The sequence below is a fragment of the Homo sapiens genome, chromosome 8 (genome assembly GCF_000001405.40).
Source record: "Homo sapiens chromosome 8, GRCh38.p14 Primary Assembly".
Taxonomy (NCBI): domain Eukaryota; kingdom Metazoa; phylum Chordata; class Mammalia; order Primates; family Hominidae; genus Homo; species Homo sapiens.
The window spans coordinates 139809573-139832836 of record NC_000008.11 but is presented as its reverse complement, the minus strand read 5'-3'; the positions used below and the strand labels follow the sequence as shown (position 1 = coordinate 139832836).

Genomic DNA, 23264 nt, shown 5'->3' with positions numbered 1-23264 from the left:
TCATGGGGAGGACGCTATCCAAGGGCGAGGGTCTCCGGGGGTCATCTTGGAGCTCCCCACAGGAAGGGACACGTCATCCACCTTGGAGGTCAAGGCTGCTTCCTGCAGGAGGCTCTTCTGGGCAGGCTCATGAGGCGGAAGAGAAGTCAGCCAGGCTTAGAGCCCCACAAGCAGAGGGAAGGCCTCTGTGCTCACTCTGGCGGACCTTTATTTACCTTTCCCCAGAATATGACACCTGCCCTTGGCAAAGAGCTCGCTGAGTTCAAGGTGGCAAAGCTGAGTCCTGGGGAGGCTGGGGAAATGGCATGGTCCTCCTGCTGGGCCCTCTCCCAACTCCGTGCCCACTGGTCTCCCACCCCCACCAGCCTCCCCTGCTTCGGGCCATACCTGCTCGTCCCAGACCAACCAGCGGCTGGGCTTCTGGCAGGAGCGGCAGGTCTCACTAGCTGCTCCACGCGAACACCCCGCGCATTCTGTCTGCATGGTGTACGTGCCTTGTCAGATTTCGAGTATTAAAAGCAGTCTCTGAGCTGGGTGGTCCTCAGATGTTATCATGCAAATGTAGCTATTTTTACTGGAAGGCCAAGGAAGAAAGAGGCCGTTTTGCTCATTGATTAGAAAGTGCACTCACAGGGTATCAGACTTGATCTGATGAGTCTGGCAGGGCCGGGAGAGCCTTCCCAAGGGAAGCTTGTGAGCTCGAACGAGGCCCTCAGAGGTGGCCCCTGCCCTCACCCTCTCAGAGCTGGTTACTGGCAGGGGACGCCTGTGACAACATGAAAGGTAGGTGCTCGCTATGAGCACCTTGGGAGGGGAAGCAGGAACCTGGAGACACAAGGTTAATGGACACTTCACGGAGAGGAGAAGGGATAATTGAGTAATAGGCACTCTGAAACGTAGCCAGGACAATGGGGCTACTCAAGGCAACGTGACGGAGTGGGCGGAAGCACTGTGGAAAGAGCACGGAGGCAGAGGCCTGGGCAGCCTTCCGCTCTCCCTACTGCAGGCCGAGACACTCCGAGCACGTCCATCCCCCTGGGCCTCCATTCCCCTCTCTAAATTGAGGAGAGTAACACTTTCACTGCGGCAAGTTGCTTTGCAAAGCAAAGGAGCCTCCTCTCACATGATACCTGACCCCCCATCCAGTGGGGCTCAGTGAGGGGTGGGGTGGATGACTGGATGGAGAGGCTGGCACAGGCTGCGGCGGTGGGGGTGTTCCCACAGGCTGTGGGGCACCCAGCGGGGTGGGGAGCTTGGGTAGGAGTCCAGGTCTATGCCAGTTCCTTATAGGGAGCAAATGTAATTAATTTCTCAGTTAAATTGAGGTGATTTGTGTGTGTTTATGCATGCCTGTGTGTGACTGAGCGTGTGTGTGTTAGTGTGCGTGCTTGCATGCATGTGAGTGCGTGGGAAGAGTGTGTGTATAAATTGTGGGTCTCTTCCTGTAGCCCCTGTTAGGATCAAATATCAAGAAACCTCACTGATGGCTGGGAGAGTCTCTTGCCCACCTTCTCCACCCCGGAAACCCAGGTCTCGGCACAAGCAGATCCTCCTCAGAGTCTGTCAGACACACACGACACAGCAGACCACACAAGTCCAACTAATGTGTGGGCGGCTGTCTTCTGCCCCAGATGTGTCCTTGGAACCTACAACAAGAAGCTTAGAGTGTGAACTTGTGGAGCCTGCGTGCCCTGGGTTCAATTCCCAGCCCTCTCTCCTGTTTGCCCACTGAGTGCCCACAGGGAGCTCCTTCCTGTCTCTTAGCAGATGGCTCATTTCTGAAATGGGGCAAGTGCTCCCGCTTCCCAAGGTCGCTGTGATTGCCAAGTGCACGTGAGCATTCGGCACAGGCTGTGTGCAGGGTAAATGTCAGTCAGCGCGGCCAGCGATGGAGCTTGCTGCCGTGCACTTCATCACTGTTCAATAACCCTGACAGTTCAGCCTCCCTGGAGAGCAGGTGTCCTGGGCGGGACCCTCTGTTCGTGGTCACCAGCAGCCTTGCTCTTCACAGTGTGGGCCTGGGATCCAGAGAGGCTTCCGGGCTCCCTGGTGCAGCAGCCGAGGCTGGTGTTTGGCATTGGCTAACACAGCCCCTTCTAGAGGTGTGTGTCTGTGTGTGTGTGTATTTGCATGTGTGCATGTGTATATGCATGTGTATGTGTGTGCATGTGTATTCGTATGTGTATGTCTGTATTGTATCTGTGTATGCATGTGTGTGTATGCGTGTGGTGTATGCGTGTGGTGTGTGCATGTGTATGTGTGTGCATGTGTATTTGCATGTGCTTGCTCGTTTGTGTGTGCATGTGTGTATATGTATTCATGTGTGTATGTGTGCATCCTTATTTGTATCTGTGTACGCATGTGTTTATGTGTATGTGTGTAGCGTTTGTGTGCATGTGTATTTGCGTGCATATGCTCATTTGCAGGTGTATGCTCATTTGCATGTGTATGCATGTGTGTGTATGTGTAGCGTGTATGCATGTGTAATTGCGTGTGTATATTCACTTGTGTGTATGCATGTGTGTGCATGTGTAGTGTGTGTGCATGTGTATGCTCATTTGTGTGTGTATGCATGTGTGTGCATGTGTAGTGTGTGTGTGCATGTGTATGCTCATTTGTGTGTGTATGCATGTGTGTGTATGTGTTTGTATACATGTGTGTGCACGTGCACGTCAGGCTCCTTCCCTTGCTTGCGTGCTAGCAGGCCACAGACCATCGTCCTGTTTCTAGATAGCTCTGTAGGTGCATTTCTGTTTCCAGCTAACTTCAGCTTATGCTAATGGAGTATTTGTGTTCACAGTCATTCATCTTCTCTCTCTCCTTCCATGTCACTCTTCTCCTTGCCACCCCTACCCATGCATGTAGAGAGGAGAGTTCTATGGTACCAGGACCTGGGAAGTGCGTGGTCTGTGGACACACATGTGGCTGGATTCCAGCCCCAGCGCTGTCACTCACTAGGCGTGTGACCTTGGCCAGCCATTGACCTCTGTGAGCCACAGTCTCCTGGTTTAGAAAGTGGGAAAGCCTAGCTCATGTGTGTAGCATCGCTAGAGACAGTAAGGAGCAGATGTCCATTCTTTCTGCATTTTTCGTCCCTTACCTGTCTCTCAGGATCCATTCTTTTCGCTCTTGTGTTACAATATTTGGGATCATAGCCCCGCAAACTGTGTGAGCTGGAAGGGCCCTCCCTCCCAGAGTGCAGGAGTTCGTGTTGATTCTCTCCCACAGCGCCCATCCCAAGGCTCTTGGTGAGAACCAGGGTTGTGAGCATCTCCAGATGGGGGTATCCAGACGTTGCTCCTCCTGGGACTGTGTGTTAGTAGATTGCACTCGTGTGTTTGCGTGCAGATGAGCATTGAGGCAGAGCTCTCCCATTATAGCACGTGTGGGAGACCCATGTCAGGTGGTGGAACGGGAACGGGTCACAAGGCTGCAGCTAAGACAGAGACTACTGCTTTGGAGGCTGTGAGCTTGGGCGAATATTTGACATCCCTATCGTCTGCTTCCTCCTGTTTGTCTGCACAGTGATTGTGAGAAGTAAAGGAGACGATGGCTTTAAAAAGTGGTGCACGCACCAAAGCAGTGATGGGATTGGTTCGTAGAGCGAAGAGAGAGCAAAGACTTTATACCCTCCGGAAGGGCGTCTCCGTACATTTACACATTCTCACACATTAGTCTAGTACACATATGTATGTTACAGTCAGAAAAGAAACTCTCTAAATATAGACGAAGATTTGTACAGGAACAAGGAAAGAGAAGCTTGCCATGTTGATCTGCGGGCATTTTTTTTCTTCCTCCATTCTGCGTCTCCAAATGTAGGAATTTTTAAGCAGAGAACATATATGGAAGGAAAGAAGAATTTCTTTTCTAAGTTTTGATCTTACAAATATAGAATAGTTGGGTATCTTTAGCTGATTTTATTCAAATGAATCTGTCATTTCATTGGGTGAGCCCTCCCTCGGATTGCATGTATTTGTATAAATATTGCTCATCTCTTATTCATTGGTTTCATGCTGAGATTCAGACGTTGGGCTCTGGGGGACAGAGGGCCTGCTGGCATAGTCCTAGGGTGCCGTCTCTGGAGCCAGACAGACCTGGGCAGCGTTCCTTCAAGTTGCTCGCTGGTGATCAGCTTCAGGGAAACAAAATGATGTGTCGATGACCTTGTAGGCCTGGCCCTTAATGAATGTTACAGCCCAGTGTCAGACACCCTGGGGAACTCAAGCAACAAATATTAATTGCATCGCCCAGCCCCATGCCGGGAAATCTCAGGATGTTCCTTCAAAGGAGCATTTCCCGATTTGGTAATGACTTTTCTCAATGGAGCTTGGTCTTTGAACCACTTGGTAGAAAATGTGAGCGGTTATCTTCAATTGACAACCTTTGGTGTGCCTTTGGCCGCATTGTCTGGCTTATTTTGAGGAAACATGTAGTGTGGTTTCCTAGATTAGCTCCTGGGGACCAGAGATGCCAAATAGATCATAAAAGAGAATGCTAGGAGGAAAGCAGCCACCCTTGCAGAGTAGAGGGTATTCTGTCCTCACGCCAGTTCAGGACAAGCCAATACAAACTGAGGACCTCTGTGTACCAGGTACAGTGTGACCCTCAGCAGACAGGCGTCATGTGGGCACACTGGGCAACATGCTGGGGAGAGGTGTGGAGTGAGGGGAACACAGCCCTGCAGCCAGACCCATCGGGGAAGCTTGCTGTAGTTGGGATGTGTGTGTGTGTGTCCCCTCCAAGTCTCATGCTAAAATGGAATTCCCACTGTTGGTGGTGGGGCCTGGTGGGAGGTGTTTGGATCGTGGGGGTGGATTCCTCACGTGTGGCTTAGCACCTTTCCCTCAGTGATGAGTGAGTTCACGTAAGATTTGGTTGTTGGAAAGAGCGTGGCACCTCTCCCTGCCTTGTTCCCACTTTTGCTCTCACTGTGTGACACGCCTGCTCCCACTTTGCCTTCTGCCATGAGTAAAAGCTCCTTGACGTCTCCCCAGAAGCTGAGCAGATGCCAGTACCATGCTCCCTGTACAGCCTGCAGCACTGTGAGCCGATGAAGCCTCTTTCCTTTGTAAACCACCCTGCCCTAGGTGTTCCTTGATAGCAATGCAAGAACAGCCTGGCACCGAGCTCCTCCCTCTTGCTGCTGTCCTGGCTGGCTTTGCCAGGACACCTGGCTTCTCAGAGCCTCCATTCACTTATCAGTCACGTGCGGGCACGCAGTCCTTATTGGCACCACCCCAGCACATGGCAGGCCTGGGTTGAAAGGTGAGACTGCCTGACCTCCTCTTTGTGCTTGCATCCCAGCTCCCGGGGAAGCCAACGCGGTCTCTGTGGCCATCTCCCTTAGCCCCGTCTAAATGCTGCTACCCTGCTCCCGGAGTCCCCATCAGGGGGTTCCCAGCTTGCCGTGGTGTCTTCAGAAGCTGCAAGAAGCTTCAGAATCCCTTCCAAAGGGATTACGGGGATCAGCCATGGCTCAGCCTTCCTCTGTCCTGCATGCAGGGCCACTAGCAATGACGTCTAGCATGTGCCAGACACATGCCTCGGCCCTGCGGATACTGAGATGGTGAAGAAACCAAGGTGCCTGTCCTCCTCAGGCACAGGGAGCCACTACCCTGAGCCGCGAGGCCCTGCTCCAGGCCGAGACCTGCTGTAGGCGCTTCCCGGGCTCTAGCTCACCATTCTGCAACAGCTGTGGGGCAAGTGCCTTCCCTTCCCCATTTTAGAAATGGGCAAACAGGTGTGAGAGGTGTCCTGCAAGGGTTTCCACCTGATGGCTATGTTCTGTGTTAGCTCCTGCATTGGGAGCTACTGCAGAGTGACTCCAGGTTCCGGAAGATGGACCGGCAAGCAGTCTGTCCCTTCTTTGATCACACGTATATTCCCTAAAGACATGTATGTTCCATTCTCTCCGGGCTTCTAACTGGTTCTCCCTCCCCATGGTGTGTCTCCGGCTTCTGTGCCTTGCTCTCTGTACTGATGGCTCCCACAGGGACCTGTACCAACCTCTCTGCAGAAACCCAGGCTCTCCTGCTGTACCTTTCTGTTCACAGTTCAGTGTATCTCCAGAATGGAGTTATTTTCCTTCCCTTCCAACCTTGCTTTTCCCCCGGCGTCCCCAGTCCACAGGAACGGCGTCAACTCCAGCCTTTCACACGAGCCAGAGCCCCGGGCCAGGCTGACAGCCTCACACTCCTCTGCCCTTTCCTGTCCATCGCCGAGCCCTGCCCATGTGGCCTGGCAAGGTCTCCGCTATCCCCTCCTGCTGCCCCACTCCACCGCCTCTGCCGTGGTTCCCACCCTCTTCATTCAGTTGTGCGTTTATTTGGTGCCACTCACAGGGGTCTCTGTTCCCCCCAGGCACCGACCCTGCGGGGGAAGGAGGCCACAGCCCCAGCTGGCCAGGGCTGAGCATGGCTTGCCCAGGCTCACCCGGCCGGCTCCTGCAGCCCCCATCTGCTGAGAAGCCCTGCCTTGTCTTGTCTGGCCCACACTGTCTCTCACTCTCCTGTTCCGTCCCTCCTCTTTTCACCTGCAGTGTAGTCCTCTGGAAGCGCCCCTCCGATCAGTCACACCTCTCCAAGGACCACAGCCCAGTGGACTCCCTGTTTATTGATTCCAGGCCCCCAGAGTCTGGCTTTTAGCCTCTCCCTCCACTCCCCTCTCACAGCCTGCCCCTCTGGGCCTAGAAAGACTGGGAGAACCAACGAGGCTCCAGGTTGGGTCACCCTGGGCTCTCTGTGCCCTCCCCTACTTCAGACCTGGCCAGGAAGACCTCTCCACGCTCCTCTTCCTTGCCCACCAGGCAGAATGGGCTCTCACCCCCACCTGGGAGAGGACAGGGGCCCTGGAGCTCCCCTGCTGTTGCACATCCTCATCATGGCCTGTTCCACGGGCGGGTTATATCCGATGCTCACCTCTCCCCACCAGAGCCTGGCATGGCGCTTTGCACAGGAAATATTCTGATTCAGGAACCCATGGGTGAGGAAGCCCTGGAAATCCTTGGGCGTTGACACTCAGCTCCGGCCATCGTCTCACGGCTGTTGTCTCGGAGGCTCGTCTGCTCTTCGGAATTGCCTCCCTTTTTCCTTCCGGGCAAGCTGGCTGCTCGGCGGTATCCTCCACGGGGCGTCTGATCACTGGCTGTGTCCTGCAGAAGCCCTGGCCCAAAGCAAACAAACCAGAGCCATGAAATTTCCCCCGGGTGGAAGTGACTTTTTTCTCAGAACTTACTATGGAAATTAAATTTCCATTTTTCTTGGGAACATTAATTGATCCCAAAGGGATTAAGGGCAGAGATTCTCTGAGTGGAGATTCAGATCCTGAGGTCTGAGGTTGGGCATGGGACCCATGCAGCCCCCACCTGGCCCTGGTGCCCATCCATCCGGCGCCCGGGAAGCACTTCCTGGGCCCACAGCCCGTCATTCCTTATCCTGCACAGCCATGGGATGGACAGGCCTTCATCCTCACAGGATGCCAGTGCCGCCTGCACCAGGACCTGTGCTTCTCCTCTCCTCCATTCGGCGGGAAAGAGTGGGACCCAGTGTGGCTGCAGGTCCCAGAGGAGTGGCTAGTTCCCTGAAAGACAGGAGCCGTTTCTCTGCCCACCCTGCGTGGGCTGCCCTGTTGGGCTCTAGCTCTGCCTTGAGGCCACCCCATGCCTCAGTAAGACCTTCTCAGACCCCTCTGTAATCCTGTAGTCCCGCAGCCCACGTCCCACGTCCAGGGCCCGGGTCATCTGTGACCCCCACTCCAGCAACCCCACCCCTGAGTGTTCTCTGTGGAATGAGAGGTCCTTTTGGCGCTCTGTGAGGGGGAAGAAGGGCTTCCCTGGTCACGTCCACCTCCCTGCAGGGGACTCACGAGAGCACACAGAAAACCCTGGAGGCCTTGAGTAAAGAAATCTGTGAATCCCATCACACCCAACCGGGCCCAGCCTCCTTACAGCATGGAACCTTTTACAAAGGTAAAGTCAGCTAGGCACAGTGGCTCACACCTATAATCCTAGCACTTTGGGAGGCCGAGGTGGGTGAATTGCCTGAGCTCAGGAGTTTGAGACCAGCCTTGCCAACATGGCAAAACCACATCTCTATTAAAAAATACAAAAAATTAGCTGGGCGTAGTGGTACTTGCCTATAGTCCCAGCTACTCCAGAGGCCGATGCTCAAGAGTCGCTTGAACCTGGGAGGTGGAGGTTGCAGTGAGCCAAGATCACACCACTGCACTCCAGCCTGGGTGAAAGAGCGAGAATCTGTCGCCAAAAGATAAAATAAAATAATAAAATAACATAAATATAAATATAAAGGTAAAGTCCATTAAATCCCTTAAAACGGGTGTTCCCATGGAGCATCCTTTGGAAAGTCGCCCTGCTCAGACGTGGGTTTCCTCCACCGCCCGACGTGCTCCACTGCCTCTCCTGTGGCCCTGGCAGCTCCAAGGCCTTAGCCACGTGGTGACTGATGTTAATGACAGTGCTGTGGTGCTGGATGTCCCTGCAGGCCCCCGAAGCTCTGCACAGGAAGCACGCTTGGCATCGTCACAGTGACCCGGCGACTTCCTCACCTCATCCGTTTTGCAGATGAGGAAACTGGGCTGCCGAAATTACGTGATCTGTACACACACCGCTCAGGGCTAGTTCCAAGACCCAGAAAACCTTGTGGCCAAGACCTGACCACTTTCTTTAATGGTCAAATTCTTTGAGTCTGCTTTCTCCCTTGTAAAATGGGGAAGACATCACCTCCCTCCCATAAGTTTTTGGCTCTGAGTGAAAATGGGGTGAACTGATACACGTGAGAGCCCCATGTAAACTGCTGCCTGCTCCTGTAATAGAAGACCTGGGTATTTTTATCCGGATCCTCACGGGCATGTCTAACAAATTCTCAGCAGTCAGTCCAGCACCTTTCAACTCTCTCTCCAAGACCTTCTGTGCCAAGGGTGGGTGAGAGGGCCTGGAGGGAGCAGGTGTGGGCTTGAACACCATCATGTGGCCGCGAGACCCCAGCTGTTCACGTTTTATTATCCTGAGGATGCCCATCAGGCCTCTCTTTGTGGCAGCGCAGTTGCCTCTGCAGGCCCCAGGGATGTTCAGAGCTCAGCGTCAGCCCCATACCTGGAAAGACTGGCACCTCTGCTGCAGGGCTTCCCAGGAACACTGTCCGTCAGCAGACAAGGCTTTTTATAGGTCTCTGTTTCCACCTGGGAGAGACCCCCGTGCATCCCTCTTCCTGGGCATGGCAGCTCCTGGAGCACAGGCCCAAGTCCAGGGATAAACAGGGGCATCTGCTGGTCTGGGTGGGTCACTGTGACCCTGCCAGAGTCTCTGATGGTTGCAGGAGACATCTGAAGTCCTTGGCGTGGCATTTCAAGCTCTTTGTGGCATGTTTTCAGGCTCCTCAACCACCCACACCCTGGGCACCTTGGTCTCTTCTCTTTCCTGTGAACCCACTCTGCATTCGGGCACCAAGCCTCTGCTTGCTTGAGCCCCTTAGCCTGGATGTCAACTCTCGGTCCCCACCTGCTTCCCCCACTTAAAATCACACTCTTTCTCCACATCAGACCGCTGGGCACCTGGTCCAGCTCAAGCACTGCCTTCCTGTGACAATCAAAGCTCCTCCCACCTCGCGCCTCTGGGGTGACTGGGCACTGGGAAGGGTACTGGTCCGAACTGAATGTGTCCCCCCAAAATTATGTGTTGCAGCCGTAACCCCCAGTGTGGTTGTATGTGGAAATGAGACCTCTGAGAAGGCAACTAAGCTTAAATGGGGGATGAGGATGGGGCCTGAGTCAATCAAATTACTGTCCCTGTAGGAAGAGGCGCCAGAGAGCTGCACACACCTGAGGAAAGGCCATCTTGAGCTCACAGCAGCAGGTTAGCGGACTGCCAGCCAGGGGAGGGCCCTCAGCAGACATCCACCCTCCTGGCACCTTGGTCTTGGACTTGTAGCCTCCAGAACTGTGAGAAATCAATGTCTGTTGTTTAAGCCACAGTGGTGACACATTGTGACAGTTGCCTGAACTGACTGTGGCAGGCAGGAACAAGGCTTTGCTCATGTTTACACTACTGCCACCCTACCCAGCCATGGTCCTGGTGTCTGAAGACTCCATGTGTCAGCGGCAGGCAGCGTGTCTGAGAGGACGCATGCACTCAGCAGGCCTCTGGCAGATGGCAGCCCCTCTGCTGTCCTTCCCATGGAGGCAAGGCAGCCCCCCCCCGCCATCCTACGGCTCTTGGCTCTCAGGTCAGACTCCTCTCCTTGAGGGAGGCCATCTCTAGCACCTGCTTGAGGTCTGGCCCCTGGGTGTGCTCTTTTCAACCGCACAATAGGGTGTCAATACACAGGCCCGGATTGCCAGTGTCGGTGTCCTCACCTGAGCTCCCCAGGAGCCTGGGGCGGGGTCTCCTTGCCCTATGTAGCTGGTACCTGGCATTGTTCTCTCGGAGCACATGAGCACCTGGGCAACCCTTTCATTTTACAAATGGGAGGCCATGCCTTAGAAGGCTGTGGAGATCATCTCCTCATATGTCACTGACCCCAGTAACCTGGGAGCCACTTTGGAGTGGGTCATGCCGTCTTCCAGGTCTGCTTCCTGGGTGCTGGTGTTTGGCCTGGAGTAGATGCTAATACAGGATTGAGGAAGGGACTGAGGAAGTCACCTCTCCTCCCCCACGGCCTGGCCCACAGCTGGCCCAGCTCAGCGCCAGGTAATGGGTTTTTAATTGAGCTGGATGAACTGGTCTGCCCAGAGCCTCAAGGCTGTTTGCAGCACCCCACGGTCCCTAATAAAGCCATCACGACTGAAAGGGCAGGGGTCAAAGCCATTGTGCCGAGAAAGAACTCTCAAATCTCTCTTCTTTATTGCTCAGCCACTTAACGAATTCTCAGAGTAAGGAACAATTTAGGCCCAGCCAATAGCCGAGCATGGCACTACGATTCATTTTCTCTCCGTCGAGCTCCATGGGGAGAACTCCAGCTGCTACCTTTTTGATTCCTATTTACCAGGCTATTATGGCACACGAATCTGTTGGTCTCTACTCAGAAGCCTTAACAAGCTCACGGGTCCCGTGCGCAGTGGTGGCTGGACCGTCATGGAGCCTCACCATGGGTGCTGGTTTGTAGTCGAGAAAGCACTTTAAAAACATTGATTACATTTTTTAAGCTGTAAGAGTAATCTCTGCTTATTTTAACTATTGAAATAATGCAAAGCAGTATAGAAAGTGTTAATCTTCTCTGCCACCTCCATTCCCATCCTTCGGAGAAGCCCGGTCTGGACCCTGGGGTAGGACCTTTTCCACATTTCTCCAGGCTCACATTGATGCATATGGAGATGTATTAACATACAGGAAATGGGTTTGTTTTACAGAAGCGGGGTCCTGCTATTCTTAGATTCCTCTGAGACCCGCATGCTGACATTTTGACCTGTGCCACAGCATACTCTCCAAGTACCAGGCTGCAGCATCCACGTGGCCCCAGCCTGGGAGAGCAGCCCCTGGGCCTCGCCCTTCTCAGCACTGTGCACATTCAGGGACTTCATATTTTGCCATTTGCCATCCACCGAATGAAACACATTGTTGCTGCTTTCACTTGCTTTTCGCTGGCTGCTCCAGAGGCTGGGCTTTGCTCATGTGTTTCTTTGATCATGTGGATTTCTCTCCTTAGATGCCCTGTTCACGTTCTCTGCCTCTTCTATAGAATTGTGTGGCTTTTTCTTATCCATTTGTAGGAGATTGTGACCTGGAGTAGGAAAAGACTGCCTACTGCAGATACATTTCCTGGTGCTGCAGATACATTTCCTGGTCTGTTATATTTCTTTTGACTTTGTTTTCATGGCTTTTGCCACATAAAATTTGTTCATTTTTCTGCAATCCAGTATATCTTCTTAGGAATGTCTATATATATAAAACATATATATACACACATACTCTCTTATTATTTTTAAAATTTAAAACATCTGGAATTCATTTGTGCATATACAATAAGATAGATCCTTGTTTTGTTTTACTTTGTTATGCCAGGACCAGTTGATTTTAAAAACCATCAATTTTTCCTTGAATTAGCATGCCACCTTTGTAATATATTTAGTTCTTTTGTAAATGCGGATCTATTTCTGAATTATCTGTTCTACTGTAAAGACTGCTGTGCTAATGCCATGCCCTTTTGTCGTAATGGCTTTAAGATATGTTTTAATACCCGATAAAGCAAGTTCTTTCTCACATTTCTTTATGGCTTTTGTAGTTATTTGTCCATTTGAACTTTAAGAACATATTATCCAGTTTAAAGTTAGCATTCTATTTGGAAATACATAAAAATGTGTATATGTGGAATATTTGTTTTTTAATGAAATAGTTCTTATAAATTTGGCCAGGTGTGGTGGCTCATGCCTGTAATCCCAGCACTTTGGGAGGCCAAGGCAGGTGGATACTTGAGGTCAGGAGTTCGAGTCCAGCCTGACCAACATGGTGGAACCCCGTCTCTACTAAAAATACAAAAAATAGCCAGGCATGGTGGTGCATGCCTGTAGTCGCAGCTACTCTGGAGGCTGAGGCAGGAGAATTGCTTGAACCCAAGAGGCAGAGGCTGCAGTAAGCCGAGATGGTGCCACCGCACTCCAGCCTGGGTGGCAAAGTAAGACTCCATCTCACAAAAATAAAAAATAAATAAATAAGATAATTTTTTTTCTCTCTCCATTTTAAGAGTTTTCTTTTCTGAAATCTGAAATTAAAAAAATGTCTTTTGGCATTTATCAGCATACTTGTAACTTCTTTTCCCTTTTCAGTGTTGTAATGGTTTTGGACGGTAGTTTTCTCTTTTTTTTTTTTTTTTTTTTTTTTGAGACAGAGTCTTACTCTGTCGCCCAGGCTGGAGTGCAGTGGCACAATCTTGGCTCACTGCAACCTCTGCCTCCCGGGGTGATTCTCCTGCCTCAGCCTCCCAAGTAGCTGGGACTATAGGCGCACGCCACCATGCCCGGCTAATTTTTTGTATTTTTAGTAGAGATGGGGTTTCACTGTGTTAGCCAGGATGGTCTTGATCTCCTGACCTCATGATCCACCCATCTCGGCTTCCCAAAGTATTGGGATTACAGATGTGAGCCACTGCGCCCGGCCTGGATGGTAGATTTCTTGGTGTGAGCTCTCCTTGGATTAATCATACTTGGTGCTGGTGGATGATTCTTTCGATGCACTGCTGGGTTTGATTTGCTAATGCTTCATTTAGAATTTTTGCCCTGTGCTCATCAGTGGAATTTATCTATAGTTGTCTCTGAAATACTACTGTCTTCCATATGCCGCCTCTGTGCACTGATGAGATTGTCCCTGTCCCAGGGGCTTCCAAGGAATGATGATAAATGCTAGAGCAGGTGGTCCCCAACCTTTTTGGCATCAGGGACTGGTTTCTTGGAAGGCCATTTTTCCATGGACAGTGGTGGGGGATGCTTTCAGGATGATTCAAGCCTGTTACATTTATCGTGCACTTTATTTCTACTATTATTACACTGTAATATATAATGAAATAATTATATAACTCACCATAATGTAGTATCAGTGGGAGCCTTGAGCCTGTTTTCCTGCAGCTAGACTAGATGGTCCCATCTGGGGATGATGGGAGACAGTGACAGATCATAAGGCATTAGATTCTCATAAGGAGCACGCAGCCTAGATCCATCACATGTGCAGTTCATAATAGGGTTTGTGCTTCTGTGAGAATTTAATGCCACTGCTGATCTGACAGGAGGTAGAGCTCAGGCAGGAATACAAACGATGTGGGGTGGCTGCAAATACAGATGAAGCTTCACCCGCCGCTCACCTCCTGCTCTCCAGCCTGGTTCCTAACGGGACATAGACCGGTACCAGTCTGTGGCCAGGGGGTTGGGGACCCCTGTACTAGAGAATCAATCTTGTGGTTAAGATGTGTACAAGGGACTAAGAGGTCACAGAAAAGAGTGTGACAAATTGTGTCTGAAGAGGACAAGGAAAGTTTTCCCTAGGTATTGCCATTTGACCTGGTTCTCATAGAATGGGGAAGGGCTTTGCCAGGCGACGGAGGAGCAAGACTGTTCACTCCACTTGGACAGCTCACATTGTCAGGAATTTCATAAGCCAGTTAACATCACATTGGTAACTAGAAATCAGCCAGGCAGGAAGTATTTACACCCTAGAAATTGGCAAATATTAAAAGTCAGGTTACCCCCACAATAGCCAGTTGTTAAACATATACCAGCACACCACTGACTGTGTTACTATTTTTTTCTTTCTTTTTTTTTTTGAGACAGAGCCTTGCTCTATTGCCCAGACTAGAGGGCAGTGGCGTGATCTCAGCTCACTGCAACCTCTGCCTCCTGGGTTCAAGCAATTCTCCTGCCCCAGCCTCCTGAGTAGCTGTGATTGTAGGCACACACCACCATGCCTGGCTAATTTTTGTATTTTTAGTAGAGATGGAGTTTCACCATGTTGGCCAGGCTGGTCTCAAACTCCTGACTTCAAGTGATCGGCCTGCCTTGGCCTCCCAAAGCACTGGGATTACAGGCATGAGCTACCATGCCAGGCCTGTCTTTTTCTCTTATCCTCACAGCTCCTAATCAGACTCTCCACCCCTGAGGGAGGGATCACATCATTTCATCACTGCACAGGGCCCAGCACCTAGAGACAGGGCATGCATGCAGGAAGCTGTTAAGAATACTCTTTGGAGTCAGAAAGCCCCGAGGTCAGTCACTAACTAGCCAAGGGCAAATGACCTGAAGTCTTTGAGCCTCTCTTTTCTCATCCATGAAATCAGGATAGTAAGCCCTACACTCATGTATAAACAGTGTATGCCCAATTACTTAGCATATACTGGTACACACGGTAGCTTAAGAATAAATTGTGGAACTGAAGTGGATTAATTCAGCACATTTTTGTGATCCTCCTATTTGTCTTTGGGGATCTCGGTATGGCTTTGTAAGACATGAGTAAGCAAGTCTCTCCCTGACCCAAGAGTGCAGGTCATGTTGTATATGGCTCTGTCTGTTCCCATAGCCTGGAGGTATTCCCGAAAGTCTTTACCTAAGTTGCCTCTATTTCACCATCCATCCCATAGAGGAGTGAGCAGCTCATGGCTGAGTGGTCCCCAGCAGTGGAGGAAGCAGAAATCATTAGGACCCTTGCAAAGGAAAAACCTTCTAAAGAGAAGGCTGTGCGGTGAGCAGCAGCCATGGGCCCAAGCCTCGCCCTTCTCACCAGCCACGTGGCGCCTGCTGCCGGGACGCATCCACGGGTAAGGGGTTAATGAACGAGAAGCCAGGCCTGTGGGGCAGGAGACCAGGAGGGCACGCTGCGGCTGCTCGATTGAGGGCCGTGAGGACGATCCATGGGTCTGGCTGCCTGGAGCAGCACTGAATCGCAGACTCATCCTGCTCCTTTGCCACTAGTTCATCCTCTCGGTAGTCTATCAACTTCTCAGTTTTCAAGGAAAAAGGAACTCCTGAGATGTAACTGCCATAAGTAGCATTCTAAGATTCTGTCCTCAAAAAGAGACACAGCTGTGCCCTCCACTGCTGCATGGCATGTGGAAATATATGAGATTTGCAGCCTGAACCTGCTATCCCCAGCCATGTCCACTGAACTGGTGTCTTGGCCTCTCTAACCTCATTGACTTAACTCCAGATGGGGCGCTGTGAACCTGCTCCAGCGGCCCCTGCAAGGCATGGGGCTGATGGGGCTGACCTGCACAGAGCACCAGGCCCAGCCTGCAGCACCCTGGGGGTGCTCAGAAAGCAGTGGCTGGTGTGTGTGTGTGTGTGTGTGTGTGTGTGTGTGTTTAGTTTATGTTCTTCCTTACTGAAGATAGGACTTAAATGGCTCACAAGGATTCATCAAAAATGCAAGATAATATACACTTAAATGCATATCATCTGGAGCAAAAGGAGAAAAAGAAGAAGATGGTTATTAAATGGAGACAGAAATGAAGCTGAGACTGTGCCTGCATGTGCAGTGAGGGCGGGCCGTGAGTTTGGTTCCAAGCAGCTGATGGAAGGAGGTGGGAAGTCACTGTTCCTGGCAGGAGTTGGCGGACCCAAGACAGTGTCCTTATCCACGAAGCACAGGAAGGGTCGCTTGGCATTGCAGAGGTCATGACAGATGCCCTTCCATTTTAAGATGTGAATATTATGTAAAAATGAAATGACCCTCTGTAGGAGGCTCCGTCTTATTCTTTGTAGCAAGTCCCAGACCTGCAGTTGGGTCCCAGAGAACACTCAGGAGCCGTGGGATGTTCTCTGAGGAGCAGTGGGGTGGGAGGGGACTCTCTGGGCTCCACCTCTCCTCTGTCCCCTCTGGGTCGGCCCCTGTGGCCCATCTCCATACTGAGATGGGGGCAGCCCCCTTGCGTCTCTCCCAGCCCCACAAGCCAGGGACTCAAAGCTCTCCCAGTGCTGCAACACACCCAGCATTGCTCTAAATCTGCACCTGGTGGGCTGGCAAGGAACGTTCTGGGGACAGATTGACCAGCCTTTCCTCCTTTCCCCAAAGCCTCACCAGCATCTGGCTGGCCCAGCTGCTTTCACCGGAAGGTACCCACTATCCCCTTGCCCTTGGCTTTCCTCTGAACCTTGCTCTGAAAATCCAGTTCACCCAGGCCCCGCTTTGCCTGATCACCCCCTCTCATCTATCAAGTCTGGCCTTCCAGGCCTCCACACCACCCCTTCCAGAAGCTTCCCCAGTCACCAAGGCTGCCCTCTGGTGCCCTGCGGTTCTCCCACCCACTCTGTGCTTCCCAACCATAGCATCTGCCAAACACAGCCGTTCTTGCCAGTTTCTCCAGTGGTTAAGCCAGTTTTATCCAGGCTCGGGAATCCACCCGCCCGGTCCCCAGCCTGGCTCCGTCACTCACTGCCCGTGTCCCTCATGCAGGTTCCTTAACCTCGCTGGGCCTCGGCTTCTACGTCAGGTCTCAAGGTGACTGTGAAGAGTCAGTGAGCTCCTAAGAGTCAGGTGATGAGCACAAGAGCCACCCGTGTTTGCACACGCAGCCTCCTTGCCCTCTGTGTGTGTGTTCCCCTGCTGGTGATCCCCGGAGCCACTGCTCACCCCACCTTCCCACCACGAGTCCGTAGGTAGCACAGTCCCTCCTGTCAGGAAATATCTGTGGATTGACTGTTGAATGTTAGTGAGTGCTTGCCGGGCGCTGTGGCTCACGCCTGTAATCAGCACTTTGGGAGGTTAAGCTGGGCGGATCATTTGAGGTCAGGAGTTCTAGACCAGCCTGGCCAACATGGTGAAACCCTGTCTCTGCTAAAAATACAAAAATTAGGCAGCCAGGTGTGGTGGCGCAAGTCTGTAATCCCAGCCACTTGGGAAGCTGAGGTGGGAGAATCGCTTGAACCCGGGAGGCAGAAGTTGCAGTGAGCTGAGATCACACCACTGCACTCCAGCCTGGGTGACAGAGCGAGACGGTCTCAAAAAAAAAAAAAAGTTATGAATGCTGAGTAGTTGTGGTGATTTAGAAATGGAAGGAATGTGAATTTCAGATCAGCTTTGTGACCTCGAGCAAGTTATTTGCTACCCCTGCCCCCATTCTCATCTCCAGTAAGAGAGGATGACACGCACCTTCTGCCACAGGGAAGGCGGGCAGGGAGCTGGGAGTGATGGGAGCTTCTCCGGACTGAAGGCTGTCTTGCATTTTTTCTCTTCCTTTTGCAGTCCCTTCCCCTCAATTGACTGATACAGATGTTCTAAGGCAGTCTAAAACAGACTGTCCACTGCAGGACTTTACAGGCAACCCTGGGATTGAAGCTGACCCACAACAGGACCTGGGGGAAGCTGCTAAGAGTCGGGCCCAGGTGCTGGCAGCTTTGCCGTACACATACTGGTGGCAGCAAGGAGCATGCGGGTTTCCTGTGACATCAATGGCCCTGCTGGCATCAACTCGGTGCCCGGCCATGTCTGTCCTCAAGGAGCTAGCAGCATCGTTTTCCAGACCCTGCTCTGCAAGCACGTTGGGTGATTTATAGGAACTCCTTGGGTGCAGGATTCTGAAACCACACCTTCTGTCTGTCTTTGGCACCTTCTGGGAGTTTTTTAGGATAGCAACCCTTGGAGCTCACAGCTACTGTTTTTCTTCCTTTCCTTTCCTTTTTCCTTTCCTTTCCTTTCTTTTTTTGAGGCTAACTAGCAGAGTTTAGGAGGGAAAGCTTTGAAAACAGACCTGGATTCAGGTTCTAGCCCTGCTACTTATTGGCTGTACAACTGGAAAAGTTAGTATTTCAGAGTCTCAGCTTCCTATCTACCTGGAAGGAGAGCTGTGAGATCTGAATTTAGGGAAGTAAAACTGGGCCCAGAGGAGCCTCTGAACTCTGGATTCACTGTCCTGTCCTTTAATGTCCTCCTCAGGGGCCCCGGGGTCCTTTTCCTGGGCCTGCTCTTGCCTGAGGGACTTCTTACCCTCCCTCCTGCTAGACAGTCTGCTCTCCCAAGCTGAGCAATTTCTCCCCCATTTCCTGACAGCTTGAGGGGTTCTGAGCAGCGACGGTGACTGTTTTTGGCTTCTCATCGCCGTGTCTCCACGGGGAAGGCCATTGGCATGGAAACAGGCCCAGCTCGAGGCTTCATCTCTGTTCTGCCGCCTCTCCCAGCAGACATAATTCTCCCTGTTTGACATCACAGCCTGCCCCTGGCCGCCCACCGCCTGCCTCGCGGAGCACAGGGCTGCTGGGTGGACTGAACAGCTGTGGCGGCTGCCGGAGGAACGTGATTCTTCTTGCCGGGCTTCGAGCTCAGAGGCGGGAGCTCAGAGGCAGTGAGGGAAGATGCAGGGAGAGAAAAGGGGACTTTTGAGTCAGCTGGACTGAGCTGGATTCTGGTGTCACCTTTTCCAGGAACTTTCTGGGGCACCCTCACCGACCCCTGGGCTGGGCTGTGAGGTCTGTCTTCTGTGAGCCACATTCCTGTCTGCAGCCCTCTGCCCCCACGCTGTCACCTCTGCCCCGGCACCGTCACCTCACCCCCGGTGCCGTCACCTCTGCCCTGGCGCTGTCACCATGTGGTTTTTGTCTGCTACCTGCCTGTCTTTCCCATGATTCTGTGGGCTCCTTAGGGCCTGTGACATCTGATTCATTCTGTGTCCCCAGGCAGCCCATTCTGCAGCCTTGCACACATTAGACCCCAGGAAGCCTGCCTTGCTGACCTGGGCACCAGCTTTCCGAGGCCCCTCAACTAGTGCTGAGCAGAGCTGGGCCCAGAGGCAGCTCTTCAGGCCTCATGGTGAGCTGTTTGCCTCTCCCCACCCGGTGCTGCTGCCAAGGTGCTGGGAACGGTGTTCAGGGAGGCCTGGTGCTCCCCTCCTCTCTAGGCCTGGCCCTTCTCGGCTCATAGACCAGCACCAAGTCTCATTCCTGCGGCATCTGCCATCGTTCTAGAGGACGGTTCCAGAAGGTGCCTTCTCTCCGGAGCATGATGGGAGAAGGGGGCTGGCCGTGGGCCTGGGAGGCACTGCAGCGTGTTGCTTGTGGGACAGGAGGAGTCTGAGCTGGTGCTCCCCCTCCCTTCTTGCACTGTCCCCACACCAGCCCCACAGCAGGTGCCTTGTCATGACATTTTAAGAGGAGGAAACTGAGGTGCAAGAGGGGACGTGACTTACTCTAGGTCACACAGATGTGAGACCTCATCAGAGTGGGCCTAGTTTGCCTCCTCTTTATGTTCTACCTGCTGGGGCACGCCCTGCTTGTGGGGACACAGGGAGACCGGCAGCACAGTCCTTGAGCAGCTGGCACCCGGCCTCTGCATCTCAGACCCCTTCCCTGGTAGAGCTCAGGAGAGCTGAGAAGACAGCCTGAGGAAGGGTGGAGAAGTGGGCCGGTCACACCCATTTGGAGGAAGCTGTCAGGGCCAGGCGTGGAGCTTGCAGCTCTAGAACCTTCTAGCAGCTGTCTGCAAAGCACCGTTCTGGCCCAGCCTCACACACTCGGTGTTTTTAACCTTCCCGAAACCCATGTAAAGTAGCTTATGTTTTCCCCCATTCCATAGTTGAGGAAACTGAGGTTCACCTTAGCTATAGCCCATGCCCCTGGAAGGCAAAGCTCTTCCAAGGGTTCAAATTCTAGGCCCTGATTCCAACACCTTTACTCTTGGTTTGTGTCTTTTGGGGGTGCAGAAAATACACTAATTTATATAGGAGTCTCTGGTTAAAAATATCTATTTAACTCATTAACATTTTTCTTTAATGATGAGTTTTCTGTAAAGGTTTTTTATTTTTAAGTGATATATACATGTGACTTAAAAAGCCAATTCGTTCCACAAGGCACATAACGAAGACCAGCAGTCCTTACTCCTGCCTGCCCCATCACCCAGCGCCAGTCCTCAGAGGCGCTTCTGCAAATGCTAAACTGTTTCCTTAGGTATTTACCTTGAAAATATGACTGAATTAATGCCAAATAGAGTACGCTGGTGTAGTGTGATCTTTCGGTGTTAGACATCGTCTGTGGGCTGCTCGCCTCTACCTGTCTACTACAGTTCTATCACAGTTCTTGGTTAAATCCCCACAGAGTTCTTCTGTTCATTTTTACTGTGACAATGCGATTGTTTTTCACAGCTAAGCCAAGCATGTATTATGATTATACTTCCCTTCCTTAAACAGTTTTTTTTGCTTTTTCTAGAATTATAATTGTATTTTCTGCAGTGTTTATTTTTCTGTGACGCTAATTTTTCTTGAACTTTCCATCAGAACCACAAAATTCCTCTCAATACCACCAAACCCATCAGCTACATCGTGTGTGCATGCGTGGTTCCAGGAGATATCTCTCCAGCGTTCTCATGTCCTGCTTCCATGTGGCCTGATGTCCTCCAGGTCTGCTGCAGGGCTGTGGTCCTGGCACATTCCTCCCACTGTCCCCAGCAAGCCTCTGGACTCTCATCTATGCCAGATCCTGCTTCTGCTTCTCCTGCCTTTCTCTTTATCAGTTTACTTCTTCAGTTTGCTGGAGCTCATCCTCTAGTGCTTTTCCAGGAAAGAGTGCATAGGAAAAAAATGTTTTTGAAATATTGCATGTCCAAAAAAATATATCTTAAATCTCCCTCAAATTTAATTGATCACTCAGCAGAATTTAGGATTTAGATTCTTTATCAGTCAGGTGAATTTAGGATTTAGATTCTCTTCCCTTTGGAATTGTGAAGGTGTTGCTCTCATTTCTTAGCTTCCAAAAATATATAGCTTTAAAAAACAAGCTCCCTCCACCCTATTGAGAAGTCCCCTGCCATCCAGATTCCGAGCTCCTGATCCTTTGCAGGTGACCTGCTTGCTTCTCTTGGGAAGCCTTTGATATCTTCTCTTCAGTCTCCAATGTTCTGGTTCTGTAATTTCACATAATGCCTCCTGCTGTTGTTCTTCGAAACTCATTTGTTCTAGGCCCTCAGTGGGCCATTTCAGTGAAAACAAACACAGGCATCAAAACAAGGACTCTGAAAAATGATTTTTAAACTAATTCTACCTCCCTGTTCCTGGGTTTTCTCTTCCAGAATGCCTGTTTACTGGATCTTGGACCTCCTTGGCTAGTCCTTTAATTTTCTTTTCTTTGCTGTTTCCTATCTCTTAGAATGCTTATACTGCTTCCTGGAAAATATCCACAATTTCATATCCAATCTCTGTATTAAATTTTTTTATTTAATTTTTAATTTCCAAGAGCTCTTCCTTGTTCTCAGTTCCTTTTTATAGAACCTTGTTCTTTTGTAATGGCTGGACTGCCTTTTCTTATCTCTGTGAGAATATTAATTGCCACTTTCTGTGAAGGTTTCTTTGTTCTGTGAATTGTTTCTGCCTTCCTCTTTGTCTTCCCCTTCATTTATCTTTGTCTCTTTTACTTTAAAGGTGGTCCTCAAGTGGCTGTGCCCTTTGGCCTTTGTTCCTATGAGGCCCTAAAGTAGATGGGAAGTGCTGGTCTCTGTGCTTGGGCAGGATGGCTGACTGGTGGGCTTCACGGACAGGAAGCATGGTGGGCCCCACCCAGAGTTCATTAGGGACTCCCCCACCTATCCTGAGTCTGTCCTCTGGCCTGGTCTGTCCTCTGGCCTGGCCAGAGGAGATCCTGGAGTATGCCATGGATCTCACTGCCAGCATTCAGGGAGCCACATCCAAGAAGGAGGCTGCCCCTCCCCATAATTCATGTCAGGACTTTGCCTTCATCCCTCCTTCATGGAATCTTGAGTCCAGAGGCTTCCTGGCCCAAGTCCTACCAAGAATAGAACTTCTGCACCGTCCACCGAGGTCCTGTTCATCCCTGGCCATTTGAAGGAGGAGAGCTTTACGCAGTGGTGTGCTGGTAGAAGTTTAACAGCCAGCTCTCAGGGGATGGGGGAGCCCTGGTCTGTAGCATTTGCTGGTTTCTGAGATGTAAACACTCCTGTAGTGGCCAGTTTCAAGGTCCCAACACGATGTCAGCCAACTCGTGAAATCCCTGAAACTTTGTCAGCTCCGGCTGGACCCTGGCTCGCAGGATCCGTCATGGTCGTTCAGCTGCCACTCTGCACCCATTGCTCATCCCTGCCCATGCCCCGTGGCTGCTCCTGCTTCGTGAACCCTCACCTCCCCACCTCCAGCAGTGGCCTTGTCTCCTTGGCGTCGCCTCCCAGGGTTTAGCTTCTGCTGCCCTGTTAGGTCAGTTACCCCTCACCCATCCTCTTTGCTTCTTCCAAAAATTTGTTGCCCTCTTTCCACAGCTGTCATTGCCTCCTCTTCCTGGTGGCTTCATATCATATGTATTCTGGCACTGTCTGTCTCTCTGTGGGTTTCAGGAGGGAACAGGGTGAATGTGTGTGCCAGGTCTGCCTGTCTGAGCAGAATCTCCCCCCACCTGTATGTTTCCAGTTACCCAGTGATTTAGCATCAGGCAGATGTGCAGAGATGCCAGATGTGCCTCTAGCACCTCTGCTTTCAGCGCACACAGGAGTCAGGGAAGAGGGTCTGGGGTGGCGGGAGGAAGGGGGGTCACTCAGTATCCTGCCGCTCAGGAATGTGCCTTGCCAACCTCAGGGGCTGGCATGTGGGGTATCTGGTGGCTCAGCAGGGTGGTGGCCGCCGTTTATATGGCAGGCACAGTCACAGCTACTGGGGTTGAGGTGGGGGTTGGCTCTTGTGGCTGGGAGAGGATGGTGCCGGCAGGGCTGTGCTGGCTGTCATCTGGGGACTCCTTAAGAGAGAATGGGGGCTTCTGCAGGGAGAGCAGGAAGATCAGGGCTGGGCTGTCAGGAGGCCAGGCTCTGGAGGACCCCAGATGCCAGCAGGCAAAATTAGACTTGCATCCTG

At 51.6% G+C, this 23264-nt stretch overlaps 1 protein-coding gene across 11 annotated transcripts in view, besides 2 other annotated features; it reads left to right on the top strand.

Annotated features, from left to right (window-relative positions):
* TRAPPC9 (trafficking protein particle complex subunit 9) overlaps positions 1 to 23264 on the top strand; it is a 730855-nt gene that overhangs the window by 625743 nt on the left and 81848 nt on the right. The window lies entirely within an intron of this gene.
* Positions 57 to 351: an enhancer, noted in NCBI's record as "tiled region #11049; K562 Activating non-DNase unmatched - State 22:ReprW". NCBI's record gives its function as "activates a minimal TATA promoter and a strong SV40 promoter by Sharpr-MPRA in K562 cells {active_cell/tissue: K562}" and the evidence as "EXISTENCE:reporter gene assay evidence [ECO:0000049][PMID:27701403]".
* Positions 1796 to 2433: an enhancer, noted in NCBI's record as "H3K4me1 hESC enhancer chr8:140842647-140843284 (GRCh37/hg19 assembly coordinates)". NCBI's record gives its function as "activates a minimal SCP1, AML or CMV promoter by ChIP-STARR-seq in naive H9 embryonic stem cells {active_cell/tissue: H9 hESC(naive)}" and the evidence as "EXISTENCE:reporter gene assay evidence [ECO:0000049][PMID:30033119]".